The following is a 19,612-nucleotide window of genomic DNA, read 5'->3' as shown; positions in this document are numbered from 1 at the left end:
AAGTTACTGTATAATCACTTTTCCTCTCATGTATATTCTCTTAAATACAGAGGCTTTTAACATAGATGCATTGACCTCTTCTTTTTCTGTTGTTTATTTGGTTTTAGCACCTATAGCCTTGGTCTATCACTCCACATTCTGTTTTCTCTTAGATCACAACTGGTATTCTATCTGCAGATCTTTGTGTGCTGATTTAAAATGCAGTTTTGGGGGCCCCACATTACATTTACTGAATCAGAGTCTCTAGAGATGAGGCCTATGCATTTCCAGTTTTAACAAGGACTCTAAGTAAGTCTTATGCACATTATAGTTCGACAACCACAGCTATAGGGAGGAATGATTGGATATAATTTTCTAGATGTTTTACCCAGCTGCTAATCTTTAATTATATATGATTAAAATAACACAAAATTTGTTTTTATTTTCTCTGAAATTGCAGATAATACATTATTACTCCACACACCTTACAATTTTTGCAAGATATTTTCAGAAGCATATAATTAGTATAATAGCATAATCATACAGACAAAACTCAAGTGTGAAAAGATACATTTTATTTAACATATGATTAAGTGTTGGAATTCACAAACAGGAATTAACACTTTAAAGACAAAGAAGATTCACAGCTATGAACACAGAGGTTAAAAGTTATATATGGAAAGGGAATGAAGGAGAAGAAACCAGGCATTTCTCACCGTATTATCAGAAAAAGTCAGAGATTGTCTTTATTTTATGGCTAACCTAACCCAAAAGGGAGGCAAAAGATAAGACAATTATATAAAGCAAAGGCAGAATCATTCAGTTTATCAAGTTCCTTAGATGAAAAATTATTAAATAATCAGGCTCACCACTTTCAAAGCTAATGGAAACGTAAAGTAAGTTATAGTAAATAATATAAAGGATACATTAGTTTTATATTATAGTTAGGTAAGGAAGTGGAAAGCATATGAAGATAAGGTGGGAAGAGGAAGCCACAGAGGCAGAAAATAAGAGGGCAAAAATATGAAGGTTTACAGATTAGCCATCAGTGGAAAAAGCTGAAGGAAGAAAGCATCTTCCAAAGCTGCCATAATAGTTGTCACGTAATATCAATTTCCTTCTTCTTTAGTAGCAGATTCTCAATATTTCTTAGGGACTTGATGTTTTCAGCTAAATGACACTACTTCCCAGTCTTTCTTAAATCTAGACATGGCATTGAGACAAAATTTGAACCGATATGAGATAAGGAAACCATAGAAGGCGGCTTTCAGGGAGCCCTTTTAGCTGGGAGAAGCATCCTTTATCCCTCCCTCTTTCTTGGTCCTGCTCCTGGGAAATTGGGGAGGGGTGGGGAGCTTAAGAAACGCTCTTGTACCAGGAAATATATTTCAGCACAGCCCGGGAGCACATAGCATGCTCCCATTTCCCCTCCACAGAAGTGGCACTGATTTTGCTGCTGAGGATATGCAAAGGTGACAGGTCTCAACATTTCCTCCCTGGTCTGGGGTGGGTAAGGGCACCTACCAAGCCAGGGAAAGGCTTGTTGGCAAACTCTAGGAGTTGGTATCTCAGAGGAATGCCAAGCTGTGACCATACAATTCAGGCATGGACTGACAAACTGGATTGAGGGTCTATCACTGAAGCCAGCAAAACCCATATGCCAGGGAGCAGTGGAGGTAGGGTATCATGGGGCTTGCAGTCAGTCCACTGCTTCTCCATATCTCAGCTGCGGCATCTATACCTGGGCCATGCAAAAGTGTTCAGCCTCCCTGTTCCCTTCCTGGGCCAGGAGTGGAAGGAGTGGAGGCAGTGGCAGTGGCCAAAATTGCAAAGGGCTTGTCAGCAACCTCTGGGAGTTGTACTCTCAGAGGAGCACTGAGCAGTGTTCTGGTGGGGGTGGGGCAGGTGCACTGGGAGCCCAAGCCAGCAAGCCCTATTTGGCAGGGAGCAGTGGAAGTTGGGAGTCACCTGGTATGCAGTCTGGCTGCTCCTCAGTGCCCTGGCTGTGGCATCTGTCCTGGGGGGGTGCATAAAAGTGCCTGGCCTCCCTTTTTGGCAGGGTGGTGGCAGCTGGTGCTGGGCTACTCAGGGATCAAAACCCTGTGGTGTTCCATGTAGACTTGAGTGGTGCCTGTGCACCGGCTCTAATTGGCTCTCTGTGTTGGTCTAGAGGCCCATGGTAGATCTGGGGGCTCTCCTGTGCCTAGGATTAATGAGGTCTGTGGTGGAGGTGTGGATCCCTGGGCATCTCTCACTCACTCACCCTTTACCCACATTAAGGAGCCTCCCCAGTTTTGTGCTGGTCCTGGGTCAGCAGCTGCCTGGCTTTACTCCTCTCTGCTCTCCAGAGTTCCCATTGTTTCCCTGGTGAAGCCCAGCATGATCTCTTAGATGATCCACTTGAAGAGTTAATAAGTACTTGCTATCTTGTTTCCTCTCCATGAGAGAGGCATGCACTAGCTGCTTCTAGCCATTCATCTTGGATCTGCAACATAGTTATTTTAAATGAGGAATTATTTCTGAAATCCAAAAATAGAGAGTTAAGTACCAGGACATTCTGTTGAGCACAAAGAATTGAATTCGTGCTTTTACCTTTGCTTTCTCCAAATCCTTACTGAAATTACTACAGTGAAAGAATAGACCCACAGGAACAAGAGAATGGGAGAGGGTATGACTGCAACACATTTGTGGAACTGGGAAAACAGGTAAGTATTCAGTGACTTCAAATGCTAGAGAAATTTGAAATCTAAACTAGCAGTCACGGGAATGCAGAAGAGAGGTAACCCACTACCTGGCCACAGAAATGTTCAGATGTAGAAGACAACAAGGATCACTGCAAGTGGAAATGCAAATGGAGGTTTTTTGAAAATTTGTGGAAGATGTTGTTTGTTACCTGATTCTGTTTTACATTTGGTACAGCTGGCAACTAATCTTGCACAGTACCTGCAAAAGAAAGTTCACTGTATCAACAAACTAGAGGAAATTGGCTTTGAGCAATCAAAACATGAAATAATTAAAAATAAAACTGAGATATTTTTCCAAGAGTAGAAAAATGAGCAAAGAGATGGAGAGTAAAAGAAAAAAAATGAAATTAGGAAATAAATTTAGGAGGCCTAGCATCTGAAAAATTAAGTTCCAGAGAGAACTGAGAAAATGGAAGGGGGACACTTATCAAATACTTTTAACAATTTTTGAAGAACAGAGAGCATGCACTTTCAGATTGAAATTAAATGTCTAGAGAATTGATTAAAAAGCCATATCATAATGGTACTGAGTGTCTCCAGAAGCCATACTAGAAACTAGAGAAGACAATGGAGCAATTAATTACAATCTGTTTTGAACCTAGAATTCTGTAGTTGGCCTAATAGAAATAGTTGTAAGAGCAGATTGGAGACATTTGTGGATATTCAAAATACTCCTTTAGCCTTCCTTACACCCTTTCCAAGGACGCCACTGAAAGAGGCACTTTGTCAAAATGAGATAATGAATTAAAAGAGGAAAATGTATTATCATAAACAAGGGGCTAGAACTACAGCTAAGAGAGAATCTCCAAAGAAGGAAAATGAAGAGTGAGATAACAGCCTTGCAGTGAGTTTGGAAAAACAGCAGCTAAGATTTGAGCAGAAGATAGAAGATTCCAGGAGGGATGTTTTCAAACAAATGTCTAATAGGATATGTGATGGTTTTTAATGTTTTAAGATGAAGTTCATAATTATGAAGGGCAGCTTAGGAATCAGTTATTGGTATGTTAAGATACAAAGAACAATGCAAACAAAACAAAAATAATTATTACTGCAAGAAAATAAGTTGTATATAGAAACAAATTGAATCATGATGTGCTTCCGCAATAACTTTTACTTGTGTAATAAAGACATTGACACCAAAAACTGCCTTTAACAACCATGATTACATAATGCAGTTGAGGAAATGGAGGAATGGGAAACGTGTTTTTGAGTTTGGTATGTAAGAAACCAGCTGCATCCATGCCAGATATTTTTGGAAAGTGAAAACCAAGAAATAGCTGTGTAAATATCTTATTTAGAAACATACAGACAAATGCCAAATTATTAGCTAAAAGAATTGAAAGAGGTGACTTCTAAGGAAGAGAAAGGGGTAGTGAGAAGAATAGTTTTCATAAAAATGTCTTGTTGTTTTACTTGACATATTAAATCATAATATTGTAATAAATAAGTCTAAGTAAAAATATTAAACGAATTATGCAAATACTCACTGCATGATAACACATTAAGCCTCATCATGCCTTTGTTATTTGGAGTGCTCAATATTACCAGCTACTTCCTGACATACATTTATACAGAGATGTAGAATAAGGGAAACAGGAACACGATGTCTCTGGAGGAGCAGAAGAGGGCATAGCAATATGTTTTTCATAGTTTCTAGTGTACCCTGGTCCTACTTAGGAAACTTGCTCATTTATTATCTAATGACAAAGATCAAACATAATTGATTACATTAAAAAAGAACATCATTTTTCATTGAGAAAAATTATAAAATCCCAGAAAGCATTAAAAACTCTACAAATTAAATATATGCATAAACATTATATCATTAGGCAATATGCTTTTCCTTTATTTGATATTGTTTGCAATATAGTTTTCTTTTATTTGATATCATATACAATAAAAAGTCACCCAAAGCAGGACTCTATACAGTGACTTCAAATTATCCCGCACTATGGCAGTATAATTTCCTGATAATTTTATTATCAGGATTTAAAAAAAAATCTGTTTTTCTGTTACTGTTCTTCTATTACTGTTTTTATGCCACCTTTCTTTGGCAATCAATATCCTTCCTTGATTTATTTTTCTTTATAGAAATTTCCATCTTTGAACTTATTAGAAATATACTGATTTTGTTGAAGGTCTGACCAATAAGGAGAGTATAAACTTCATGCTGGTGAGGGTTATTTTTGTCCCTTTTTTGGTCAATAATATATCACCTAGAATACTGTCCAGCACCAGGACATCATGGCGACGTACCCAGTGGAGTTGCACAGGGCCCCAAGCTCAGAAGGGCCTTTCTACTTGGGGCTTAAGGTCCTGCAGTTTTCACTTCCAAATCCTTAACGATTTTCTCTTTGAATTTGAACTTCGTAAGTGAAATCCAACTGGATGAGGGAATATGTGCTTGAGGCTTGGAGCCTGGACTCCAAGGGCCTGCCTCCTGCCACCTTCTTGCCTTCTCTGATAATTTCTCATCCATCTGCTCTGTGACCCCTTAGACCTACCTGATTGCTTCCTGGTGCCCTTCACTCCTAGCATCCTGGGGCAGGTCCTGGCCATGGCAGTCCCCTCCTTAATTTGTTGAGATTGAGCCTCTAGCCCACACTATTGGGTACCAGAGGTTACTAAATCTTACAGGCTGTATTTCTAAAATTCTCTATTCTATAACCATCATTTTTTCTTCCTATTTTTACTGAATTATATTAACATTTAGTCCTCTTTTCCCTGAATTCTGCAGTGGTCTGGTGGTTTCTGTCATATTCTCTTTCTTCTTTTCAATCATTGTAAGCTCCGGGGTGGGGTTCTTTTTCTCCCAGCAAGCCCTGTGCATCTCTGTCTCTCTCATAGTGTTCTTGTATATCATTGTTTTGTAGCAGTCTGTATGTGCCACATTCCTCTTATGGAATCAATAATTTATGAGTTTTAAAGAAAAGCAGTTATGAATTAGTAATAAACCTTGGTTAGTATCTCTAGTACAGGCTTTCAAAGGCATATTATTTTTCAGGAGATACGTTTACATTTTTAAGAAAGTGTGTTATTCAAATATGGTATTTATAAATTATAAAGGTGACAATTAGTATTTCTGTCCAGTTATTACAGAAAACATATCTTCTTAACTTTATCATATAGGTGTTAAAATTTCCTATAAATGAAAAGAAGTGGTCAAAGAGATGTTAAGTAACCAGGAGGCAAATGTCATCATATGCATTGTAGAAAACCAGGGTTGCTAAAGAAAAGTAAACTTGGAATATGTAAAAGTAGATAAGGAATATTTTGAACAGTGAAGTGAAATTCTATATTCCTCCTGAAGAAACAGAAAGGAACTACTAGGACACAAGTGCATCCAGTGAGCATTTTTTTTTTTTTAACAATTTTCTTGTTTTGTTCTTAGTATCACCCCCAAATTAAGAGGCAGCATTGAGGTCAATGGCTACATTTCAAAGAAACTACTTCTTTAGACAGCATGCAGTCTCATTGTGAAAGAGGCTGCTTAAACAAAGAAAAAAATATGAAAAAAGATTTCAGTGTATGACAGACAAGAGCAAAATATGATATAAAAGTAAACGGTATTGCCAAGGCTGAAAAATACAAGAAAAAAAGGCAAAGATATATTAGATGAAGAAAATAGTAGTAGGAGAAGAAAATAATTATAATGCAAACTGGGTTGATCCCAGTGCATCCTTTTTCTTGTCTATAAGGAATCTAACTCTCTCCTATTAAAGGAAAATGAAATGTTGTAATGCAAAATTATATAAAATATTTATATATAAATTGCTACTGAATATGTCTTTAAATAGTTCTGGCCAGGTAGTATATTAAATAGCCACTTACCTTGTTTCGTATATTATCTGTAGTGGAAATAGCCTGAATATTTAAAACATTTTTGTGGCTAAACAGCACAAATCAATTATATGTTGATATGGTTTTGCTGTGTCCCCACCCAAATCTCATCTTGAATTGCAGCTTCCATAATCCTCATGTGTAGTGGGAGGGACCCAGTGGCAGGTAATTGAATCATGGGGGCAGGTTTTTCCCGTGTTGTTCCCGTGATAGTAAAAAAGTCTCACAATATCTGATGGCTTTATAAAGGGCAGTTTCCCTGCACATGCTTCCTTGCCTGCCACCATGTAAAATGTGCTTTTTTTTTCTCCTTTGCCTTCTGCCATGATTGTGAGGCCTCACAGCCAGGTGGAACTGTGAGTCCATTAAACCTCTTTTTCTTTATAAATTACTCAGTCTCAGGTATTTCATCATAGCAGTATGAAAATGGACTAATACATATGTGGAGATTTTATTTTACATTTTTAGTTGTCTTTGACACAATTTATTCAATTATTGCTGTTTTGTTACCTAAATATCATTTTGTAATTGTAAAGAAAAAATGTAGTCATTATCTTGACATTTTGAATTATTTAAGTAAATATAGTTGTAAATAAAATGCCAAAATCTGTTAATAAATGAGTGTTAAAGAAGTTAGGGATTAAAAAATGACAGGAATACGCGAAAAGTTTTTGGTAAGGTTTTAACTCAAACTCTCTTTCATTGTGGCTTTGGGTAATTACTTAACCTTTCTAAGCCACAGAATATTGTTTGTAAAATAGGGCTAATAATAATAATCACTTAAGACATGCTTGAATGAGATAATTCATGCAAAGCTTTTAAACAGAGCAAATGATGAGTAAGTATTAAATATACTTGCTATTATATTATAGTTGTTTGTCTCGGAAAATAGTTTATCTACAATAGGATTGTATGAAAAATTAAATATTAGCATTAAACATTAAAAGAAATAGAAGAGAACATGGGTATATTTTAAATTTTAAGTTCAGAGATGGCTTTCAAAACATTACATGGAAAGAAAAATAATAAAGAAAATGTTAGTGGTAGTATCATTAACAATATAAATAACATATGAAGCATTATATCTCAGAAAACTTTTTAACTAAGAAAGGTTAAAATACATAATGCGATAAAACAGCAAATACATACGCACACAACTCAAATGTTCTGATAGCCACTTCTCCAACAAATGTCTCCAGTGAATGTGTCAGGGACACAGCAGAAATATTATTGCATAAAGTAGAAGCTCATTCAACATCTTGGAAGAAAATGAGTTACTTTTTTGCAAGTGCAACATAAGTGCACATCACCAATTCTGGAAACCACACTCCTTATCTTAAAGATCTAAAGAACTCATATTGATTGAAAGATTTGCAGTTTCCTTTACTTAAAATATTCATTTGAATTCTAGCCACTGAAAAGTCTGTGATATTTGGATAGACAAATAAAAATAAATGTTGCGTTTTTTTCTTCTTTTGAAAGATTAAATATGCGTTTTCATTAAGTTATTTATTTCAAACTAATGCAAATTGAGATGTGGAAAAGTTGACAAAGTATAAAATTACACAGCTTGCACAACAAGGAATTATGCAGCCCCCGACTGATTTCTCATCCTGCTGCCCAATCAACCTCATTTCCACTCAATTCTAGATTTTGCTCATCGCCCCAAACTTCCATTTTCATCTTCTCAGGAGGAAGCCTTGGTTTGGTAGAAACACGCATATAATGTGAAATCATGTAGATATATTTTAACAGTATTTTCTTGTCACAAAAGTTTAGAAAATAATTGTGGCTGGCATCTCTTTGAGTACTTGCATATCTGAGAAGGCCTTTCAGTTGCCTTGATAAGTAAAAGAGAGATTGGATCATTAGAGACTGTAGGCCCATTTAGTTTAATACAAAACTTTCTAGTTATTGCTCATTTATCTGCTGAGATTCAATATTATAGATAATAATAATTCTATTTATCTTTGTAGATAACATTGATTATTATTAATAGATTTTGAAAATCATCGGTGTTTATAAGATTCTTTACTTTTAAAATACCAAAAAGCAAACCAAAAGAGGAAAAAATGTTCTTCCACATGTCAGTTGCTCATAAAAATTTGCAAGTGTCTGTGATGTAGAGACTCCAGCCTTCAGCCTAGAAAAGGGTTGTATTACTGCAATTTCTAAATGACTTCCTATTTATTCACTTATTCCACACTTTTTATCCAAGTAATGAACATTCATTGTCTAAATTTTGTAACTACTCTCTTTAAATGAGTTTACTTCTTTGTCCTTTGTTTATAATATCTTAAGATTTACTTAATTATTTTTACACTTTCTGTTGTACATCCCCTCTATAATGATTGTGATGTTAATCACATTTTTTAAAAGTGTCCATTTCATGGTGTTATTTTAGAAAATATGTTAAATCAAACAGATTTGAGCTATTGTTTCTTTGTTCTGTAAAATTTTATTTTCCATTTTAAAAAGCACAAAGTCAAATCTATCTTCATCTATTCTGTTAATATGGTAATCCAAAAAGATCAGTGGTTACTTCAAAAGAACCATTTAGAGTCAAAATCCAGGGATCTTAGTCCTGTTTCCATGTTTTGTCCCTGTTGTTTCACTTGGTATGCCATGCTCTATTTCTTCTTCTGTGCAGATTTTAAGACAGTAGCCTTAAATCTGAAGAATTCCTTTCTCTGATGCCACCTTATTTTGGTTTTCTAAAATTCTTTTCTTAACTTTTTAGATATATAATGAGAGTCAGAGAGAGAGAGGAGAGGGAGAAGTACACATACATAAATAGGTTAGTTAGAGGTGCAGATATAGGTATACATAGACATAAATATGGATATGTACTCTCCCTTGATCTTGAGTATAGTGTTTAGTTAAAATCTCTGAGAACATAAAACAAATACTGTTTAAGTCTGATATCTCTTTTCAATAATATTTTTCAATAATACACTCTTACTTCTTTTTAAGTTTAATCATTTTTTTCCATAGTTTGATTCTATCTAGGAATTCTTTTCACATATTCCTATGTTTGGGTTTTCTAGTAACACGTTATTGTTTGAAGAGAAAAGTTGATATATGTCTGCCATATTCTTCAAAATATTTTCACATTATTTTCTTAGAAAACTTGTTTTTGACTAGAATAATATTAGTGTCTTCCTCAAAGATTTTAATATGGAGATATAGATGATCAAATTCAAGTTTAGCAGTTCAGTGATTCAGTGTCATAAAATGGGTGGAAGAAAGCAAAGGCTGAGTTCAACAGGGAATTGCTTCACCGTTTACATTCTTTTGCTTTTTCAGAATCCTTATACCAAGGATTAACTTTAATGATCAGTTTTTTTGTTTTTCATGGGGTGGGGGGATGATAACGGTCTAAGAAACACTGCTTCTTTGTAGCTAAAGTTTGTCCTGGCATTTCTTACTAGTAAACCATTTCAAAAATGATTTGATGTTAGAAAACTGCTGTGTTATGAACTTCTATGTTCCATAAAGACTTTCATATTTCTATAATTAGGCCTGCGCTTAGGCATCATTATAGAACTACTTCTCAATGAAGTTTTCAGTACCCTTTGTAACTCTCAGATATCTGCACGAAGGTAAAATGGGGGGTAGGGGCAAGTTTCATGAGGACTCTACTATTGCCTTTTCAGCAACAGTCAAGTTGCTACCTCAGGGAAGAAAGTAATGAGTTAACTCAATGAATTCTTTTCAGTCATTTGTTATTTGTATCACATCTAGCATTAAACCTTCAAAAATATTAAATTATAAGATTAAGGAAATTTATCTGAGCATCTCAGAAAGAAAAAAAATTGCAGGTTAAAATTTTTCTTTCATTTTTGATGGCATATGAAATACATGCTCACATATGTAAGTGCTCCAAAATATACCAGCTTTAAATTCTTGGAAAAAAATAACAAACAAAAACTTGAAAACATGCTCAAGGAGAAAAAAAGTTGACAGAAAACTCAGGAGTTTAGAATATGAAGAACACTGTGTTCCAAGGGAATAGAATACCGATAATCTTTTTTTTAAATTTCAATTTTTATTTTAGATTCAGGAGGTACATGTGCAGGCTTGTGACACGGATATATTGCATGATGCTAAGCTTTGGGGTACCATTGATCCCATCACCCAGGTAGTAAGCATAGTACCCAATAGTTAGTTTTTCAACTCTTACCCCACTTCCTCCCTTTCTTGTTGATGTGGTTTGGATTTGTGTCCCCACCCAAATCTCATGTAATCCCCAATGTTGCAAGAGGGGCCTGGGGGAGATGATTGGTTCATGGGGACAGATTTCCCCCTTGCTGTTCTCATGATAGTTAATTCTCATGAGATCTGGTTGTTTAAAAGTGCAAAGCACCTCCCACTTCACTCTCTTCCTCTTGCTACGGCCATATAAGACGTGCCTACTTCCCATTCCACTGTGACTGAAAGTTTCCTGAGGCCATCCCAGCCATGCTTTCTGCACAGCCTGTGAAACCATAAGCCAATTAAACCTCTTTTCTTTATGAATTACCCAGTTTCAGGTATTTCTTTATAGCACTTTGAGAATCAACTGATATACCTGTCTAGTGGTCTCCAATGTTGTTGTCTTTGTGTTCATAAGTACTCGATATTTAGCTCCCACTTATAAGTGAGAGCATGAAGTATTTGGTGTTTTATTCCTAATAACTCCCTTAGGATAATGGCCTCTAGCTATATCCATGTTGCTACAAAGGGCATGATTTAGCTCTGTCTTATGACTGCATGGGAAGGAATCTTTTTGAATTGTAAAACAAGGCTCTCACAACCAACCACCTTATTCCTTTCCCAGTAAAAAATTCAACTGGGTGAATACAAGACATGGTGGGTTCAGGTGGACTATAAACATATGGGAATCATTGGTGCAGAGGTGGAATTTCCAAATAAATGTGTGGCTGAGATTGACCAGAAAGAAAAAAAAAATAAGTGTAAAGAGAAAAGAGCTTAGGGTTGAGCCTTGGGAAACCTCAACATTAAATGAGCAAAGTGAAGCTAATGAGTCAGCAAAGCAGCCTGAGAAGGGGTGATCAAAAAGAAAGGAAATAGTAGGACAGGGTCCTTCCACCAAGGCTAGAGCAGAAGCGTGTCTTAAGAAGGACATGGTTAGCTTCTTGAAAGCCACTGATAAAGAAGGAGGGCATAGTAGAGGCCACTGACAGTTAATGTAAGATTGTACAGAGAAATATTCACTGCCCTTATGAACGTGAACTCCCTGGTAACTTCTGGGTGAGAAGTTCTGGTGATCTCTTAAAGAGTTAGAAATAAACTGCAATAAGTTGAGGAAGAATAGAGGGAGAGGGAATAGTGTAAGTGTGACACTTCTAGAAATCTGGCTATAATAGTAAGAAGCAAGACAGGCTAGTAACTGGGATGGAAATGAAAAGGAGGACTTAGTCTTCAAATATACAAGAGACTTGCACATAATTAAATGGAGGTAACAACAACAAACAGAGGGACAAGAATTTTAGAATATTAGCAAATGAGTTAGTGTAATTATGAGACAAAAGTTTCAGAATATTAGCGAATGAGTTAGTATAAAATTTACACTGGATAAGGAGAAAACACATAAAGAATAGAATAAGATTTAATATGAACTGTGTAGAAGGCTGATCTGTGATACATATATCTATAAATGCATATAAAATTGAAAACTGCTTGCTTTAAATTTGTTGATATTTCTAAATTTTCTCAGGTTTGCATGTCCTTTTATAATAAAAATATATTTTATCAGTATTTGTATGTGTAGGTGCATGGCTATGTAAAATGTGCAAATAAAAACACTTGAAAGAGATATTTCAAGTATACTTTTGTTGGAAAGTGGAATTTTGAGTGATTTCTTTAGTTTTTTTGTCTTTTTAGAGATTTTCTACAATAAATGTATACTAATTTGATACTAAATACATGCGTTATTTTTAAAAGGGCACCCTGACCTTAGCAGAAATTGTAGCATCTAAATTTGTTTTTATTGCTTTATTCTAGCTCCTTTACATAATGCAGCTTGTAAACCATTGTTTAGAGATTTCCTATGGCCTGTCAGTGTAAGAAATAAATGGGCACATTTATGAGGTATTAAAATGGAAGTAGCTAGTAGTACTTACACAGAATTTGATTAGTAGTTCAATCAAACTACTAAGATTTTGACTGAGATTCTCTCAACTTACTCCAAAACCTGTAAAATACAGAGAAACAAATAGATGAATTTTAAAATGTTTTCAGAATCTGAAAGTAAGTTTCACTAACTGTAATCCTGATCACTTGGGAATAAGTAAAACAGCTGTTGCTATGCCTGTTGCGTCTCATGACATGGATTAACCCCTGAGCACCTGAATAATGAAGGTGAAGAAGTTTGTGTTTCCTACTTTAGCCCTTGAATCTAACAGCCAGCTTCCATATGGAAGGTCATTTACTGGGATTCTTTTCCTTACATAAATCTAGGTGAAATATGAGAAACTTTCCCCAAATTTGCAACATAAAATGGAAACAGTATCATGTTCTCTTACACGAGGTCAGTGTAGGGTTAGATGATGCTGCAGCTCTCACAAAGGGTTGAGGATGTACCAGCTCCCACTGTTGTTTCAGAATATTGAATTTAAAAATAAGAATATATAGTTACAAAGAAATACCGATTTTTTTCTCCTTCCTACTTTCCTTTTATTTGTAATTTGTCTAAGTTTGAACAAAGTTTTTCTAAGTATGGAGGAAAATCAGAAGAAGAAGTTCAGAACTTTTGACACCTGTATCATTCTCTCAGCCACCTACACATTCTTTCCAGAGCATGGATACTTTTTCACTCAAGATATAAACCCTGGCCTGGGGGTTTGTGGTACAGAGATCTATCTGTCTTGCAGCTACCTGAGAACATGTTTCTGTCTGTAATTTCCCCTTCATAAGTCACTCAACACCAACAAACTGGATTTGTCTGTCTCGTTCTTTGCTTTCTTGACTCCTTTGGCATTCAGGAGTCACTTTGTGTAGACAGTCCTTTCCGGGAACAACGTGATTATATTTATCAAGAGAAACACTTAACAAGACCCTCTAAAACACTTATCAAGTGTGACAAACATAATATTTTCAAGACTGTTTAGTCCAGTAATTCAACATTTAGAAATGTATTTTAAGGTAATAATTAAAGATTCATACTTGTGCATATCTGTGCAAAAATCTATTCATGACATAATTGATTATAATGTTAAACATTGAAAATCCTCTAAGTTTCTAGAATTTGTTAAGAAAACAATGCTACATAATTATGAAATAAAATGGAGAGTATTAAGCCGTGTTTTCAAATTATTTTTTATGGAAAAATAGTTACTAAAACATAATTTTAAAGTGAAAAAGAAGATCCCTAACTATGTATTTAAATACTTCTAATTTTGCAAAGAAAGTATATAAACACGTGGTATTTGTAAAATTTTTTTATATAGAAAGGAATTACCTTTCAGTGGCTGAGCAAGAGTAGCCAAAGTCTTTTTAATATAATTAATAGCTGTAATTATTTATTGAGTCAGAAATACAATGACTCAAAGTCTCTTGAATAATATCTTGACAATATTGAGTGAATATAGGGAAAACTAGGCTGAATATAGTACGCTATAAAATTTGGGAACCAAGAGGCTGTTGTGGTGGCTTTATATTGTGTCAGTTTAGGTAAACTGGAAATTCATTTACTGGGATTCTTTTCCTTACATAAATCTAGGTGAAATATGAGAAACTTTCCCCAAATTTGCAACATAAAATGGAAGCAGTATCATGTTCTCTTACACAAGGTCAGTGTAGGGTTAGATGATGCTGCATCTCAAACAAAGTGTTGAGGATGTGCCAGCTCCCATTGTTGGCAGCCGGACCTGCAGCCCCTGAAGTAACTACAGATCTCCTACTTCTGCTTTGCACAGTCCTAGGCTAGGTTCCTGTGCAGTTCCATGATGGACAGTGCCAACTTCTCTGTCGGTTACCTGCATCATTCAAGTTGAAGACCTGCAGGTGACTAGTGACTGATTTCTATTCCAGAGAAAGGTGTGGGTTTCAGTTATATTTTCATAGGTTCATTTATTCCTGTGGGTTCTATTTTGTACTATTGTATTCTTACTTTTTCTCACATCATGTCTATTCCCAACTGCCAGCCCTGCTACCTCAGCCCTTGTACCACACTCAGGTGCAGCAGAGTGACACAGACCGCTTAACCAGCTCCCACGATCATATAAGGTTTAATCCCTCCTTGTAGTCTACTGGGTCAGGCCTAGTAGTCAGTGTCTCTGAGTGAATCCTAAAAAATACAGCCACTAATGTACTACTCTTGTTTGATATTCCCATTTATCAACAGTAACTACTTATCCCTGTGAATGGACCCATCAATTATCATGAATGACATAATACATCTATGCTCGTTTAGCAAAAGTAAATGACTATAAATATACTGTTGTATTCAGTCTTTGAAGGTGGTCATGGTGTAGACAAGCCACTGTTATATAAGGAATATAACAATCTGATTTTTGAAAGTAATGGTAAAATTTTTTTTAACAAATTTTTTTATCACTCTTCCTCCCTACCCCTCATTCCTCTCACCTGCTCACAAACATGTATGTTCTTAGGGTGAGTTCCCTGTCTATTCTGACATATTCTAGGAGTTAGAAATGCTTATCCATAGTGTGCTAAAAAATTATGATATCAATTCTGTTTTCCCCCTTATTTGGTTGAGAAAATATTCCCCCAAATCATTGATATTTTACTTTTCGACTGACATACGTATATTCTTCTTAGTTTCTAACTTTACCACTTCTTGAAGAGTAGGAATTCCCTGCTTTCATGAGTTTGGATTTTATTTAGGCAAATTCTATCATGGAGGGAAATATTCTCAGACATGCCTGTTTCCCTCTGATGATGAGGAGTTTCTTAAAATTTTTCTGAATTGGCAGAAAAGCTAGTGTTTAAAATTGTTTTTCTACTTGCACATTGCTCTTTATTCTTTGCACAGTGTGGAAAATTGATTCAGTACTCTCTGGAGTTGTCAAGAGAAAAAGGGGATCTTTGTATCAATGAGATTTCTTTCTGGAGACATGATTAATTTTTCTGGAAGTCAGGGCATGTTTCAGATAAATAGCTTTAATTTTGAGTGTGGTTCATAAATCATAAGAATAAGAAAGTCTGGAATACATAATGCAAAATAAATGATTAAGTGAGAAAATCAAGATCTCTTGTTAGAAAACACAAAACCATTTATTTAAAAAATCAGAACAGGGAAAACATGCATATAGAAATCATGGTTGATCGTCTATTTCTATAGAAATCTGAAAAATCAAGTGTCACCTCTGAATAGTTAAGCTGTGGTGGACTTTACTTTTCTATTTAACAATGCACAAAGCCTTACATTGTCCTTCCTTTGTCCCCAGTTTTATTGGTAGACCTCATTACAGTACTAACTCAATATAATTGATAATAATTAAGTACTCATGAATGTTTGCGATATTGCACTAAATGTAGAAGCAGAGAAATGCTCTGTTATTATCAAGTTGAATACTAGAAATATTTTGTTATAAGTGGTTTAGCCCTGAAGGATTATACAGTTATTTAATTATTTTTTTCAACCAAAAATCTAAAAATAAACACAATTCTTATTTATTTATTTTTTGAGACTGAGTCTCACACTCTCACCCGGGCTGGAGTGCAATGGCGTGATCTCGGCTCACCTCAACCTCTGCCTCCCGAGTTCAAACGATTCTCCTGCCTCAGCCTCCCGAGTAGCTGGGATTACAGGTGCCCATCACCACTTCTGGCTAATTTCTTGTGTTTTTAGTAGAGACAGGGTTTCACTATGTTGGCCAGGTTGATCTCAAAATTCTGACCTCATGATCTGCCCCCCTCGGCCTCCCAAAGTGCTGGGATTACAGGCGTGAGCCACTGTGCCTGGCCAAATACAATTCTTCAGATGTAAAACTTGCTTCAATTCGGTTAATCCACAGATTTAATCATGGAAAACATCAAGTCTCTGATTAAAGGACAAAGGTTATTTTATTGTTAATACTACATAGGATTAAATACAACCAATATATGTACATCTTGTTATTTGCAGGATTCATGGCCTGTAAAGTCACCCTGAATACTGAATTAGTGAATACTCAACTATTGCTCCAAGGAGTAATACAGGGTTAGGTTCTTGCAGGCCTCTGGTTACATTGTTAGTGGTGGCAAATCTGTACGGGTCTTCAACAACCTCAATTCTTCCCTCCACGGAAGAAAGAATTCAACTGAGGGGCATGGTGCAGAAGGAGAGACCAAAGCAAGTTTTAGAGCAGGAGTGAAAGTTTATTAAAAAGCTTTAGAGCAGGAATGAAAGGAAGTAAAGTATACTTGGAAGAGGGCCAAGCGGGCGACTTCAGAGATCAAGTGCACAGTTTGACCTTTTGTCTTGGGTTTTATATACTGGCATGTTTTTGGGGTTTTGCATTCCTTCTTTCCTGATTCTTCCCTTTGGCCGGGCTGTCTGCATGTGCAGTGACCTGCTAGCACTTGGAAGAGGGGCATGTGCAGTCTGTTTCTGGAGATGTATGCATGCTCACTTGAGGTGTTATTCCCTTACGGGTCACATGTCCCTAGGAGGTCATATACCAGTTAAACTCTGCCATTTTTTCTCTTAATGCACATGCTTGAGCCTACTGGCCCAGCTACTGAGATCTTATTGGAAAGCTGGCGATCACCAGTTTCAGGTGTTTTAGTTTATTGGGAGACTGCCTTTCCCTGGTGCTGGCTGGGACCAATTATTATTTTAAAAGCAGGGGGTCCCTCTCCTCCCCTGCTCATATCTAACTAGCTACCTACTGTAACAACAACATTTTTGTCAGCTGAAACACCATTTGCATTATATTGGTTTGGTTGCCAACATCCTTGTAAAACAAGCTGGGCTTCTCTTCCCCAAAACCCTCTTCCTGTATAACACCAAACAGGTATTAAAAATTCTCTGCAGTTTCCTGATCTGCAGAACCTGCCTCACTTGTAAGTTTAACATTTTTCATATCATATCGCCGTTTGAAACATGTAAGCCATCCTTCCCTAGTAGAGAAAGGTTTACTATTTTCCTGACTCTGGGTAATGTGACCATGAATTATTTTGGCTTTCAGCCTCACAATAATGCTGTCCAAATATGCTTTTTTTTAAAAAAAAAATCTCACTATCTCATCATCTCATGCATCTACACATTTAGCCACTTTTTAATATTTTCCATAATTCGCCACATACTGTAGGTGTTATTTCAGCACATTTTAGGCAATCTCACATACATATTGGCAAATTTCCTCTTCCTGTCTCTGTTTGTACCACAGTGTTGATGCATTAGCATTGAATGCGCAGACCATAGCACTATAACTCATGCCTGAACAAAGCTTATCGAGTACACGTGTCTGCTCTGCAAAGCACATCGCATCCTTCTTGTGCCAGGAACACCGGACAACACTTCAGCACTATCCTTTGGTGCCACTGTAAACAGCAAAATCACCAACAAAAAGCACAAAAATGTGAAAACATGACACTGAATAGACTACCGAAAGGACACATAATTACAATGGGAGAGCTCAAACAAAAAGGCAAGTGTTGCCTTGTCAACCTCCTCTGGGAAGGTGTGCATAGAATGACTCAAATTTACCCCCACTCTGAGCATGTCTTCAAATAGCTGTGGAGGTTACAAATACATTTTATTGATTAGGTGACTTTACAAATATGGAATCCCCCAATAATGAGAATTAATTGTATTAAGATAAAGATCCAAGGGAAAAGGAAATCTTGTTCATCACGCTTAACTGTTAAACAAAGTTTTGTATATGCCGGCATTCTTCTTTCCTATTGGAGATTGGGGTGTGTGTGTGTGTGTGTGTGTGTGTGTGTGTGTGTGTGTGTGCGCGCTTGTGTGTGCGTGCTTGTGTGTGCAGTGGTTCAAATTATTTTGTGGTTTTTCTTATGAATACATAAGGGAAGATAGAAGTTTTGTGAGTGTTGAACTGGAATAGGATCTTTTTAAATATAAAATATGGACAGAAACTACAACAAAAAAAGTACTTTTATTTCTAGAACTTTTTTTCTTTCATGTTTTGAAATTTTTATTATTCCCTCTATACTAAGTATACTTTGGTAATTGTGGCAATTTACTTTACACATGTACCTTGAGAAACTGTTAATTTGTTCATGCATTCTGCAAAGGTATTGAAAGCTTCTCGGGTTAGGCAAAATTTTCTGAGATAGGAATGTCAGAGCAACTCCATCTTAAATAGGAGCTGGGTAAAATGGGGCTGAAACCTACCTGGCCGCATTCCCAGACTGTTAAGGCATTCTAAGGCACAGGATGAGATAGGAGGTCAGCACAAAATACAGGTCATAAAGACCTTGCAGACAAAACAGTTTGCAGTAAAGGAGCTGGCCAAAACGCACCAAAATCAAAATGGTGACAAAAGTGACCTCTGGTCGTCCTCACTGCTATACTGGCAGCAACGCCATGACAGTTTACAAATGCCATGGCAACTGCAGCAAGTTACACTATATGGTCTAAACAGGGGAGACAGGAATGGTCTATCCCTTGTTTAGCATATCATCAAGAAATAACCATAAAAATGGGCAAACAGCAGCCCTCAGGGCTGCTCTGTCTATTCCTATGGAGTAGTCGTTCTTTTATTCCTTTACTTTCTTAATAAACTTGCTTCCACTTTGCACTGCGGACTCACCCTAAATTCTTTCTTGCATGAGATCCAAGAACCCTCTCTTGGGATCTGGATCTGGACCCCTTTCCTGTAACATATTTCTGGCAACCATAAAGGGACTATAGTGCAGAAACCCTGACCCAACAGCTATTTGGGTAAGTGTTGGGGTCCTGTAACATATTTCTGGCGACGACAGAAGTGACTATACTGCAGAAGCCCCCGACCCAAAGGCTAACTTTGGGTAAGTGGTGAGGTCTGGTAACAATTTTCTTGTGAACCACAAAAAGAACAATACTGAGGAGACCCCTCCCGACCCAAAGGAAGTAGACTGCAGCACTGACTGGA

The sequence above is a fragment of the Homo sapiens genome, chromosome 9 (assembly GCF_000001405.40).
Source record: "Homo sapiens chromosome 9, GRCh38.p14 Primary Assembly".
NCBI lineage: Eukaryota > Metazoa > Chordata > Mammalia > Primates > Hominidae > Homo > Homo sapiens.
The sequence above is the reverse complement of the archived record's forward strand: the minus strand, read 5'-3'. Positions refer to the sequence as shown.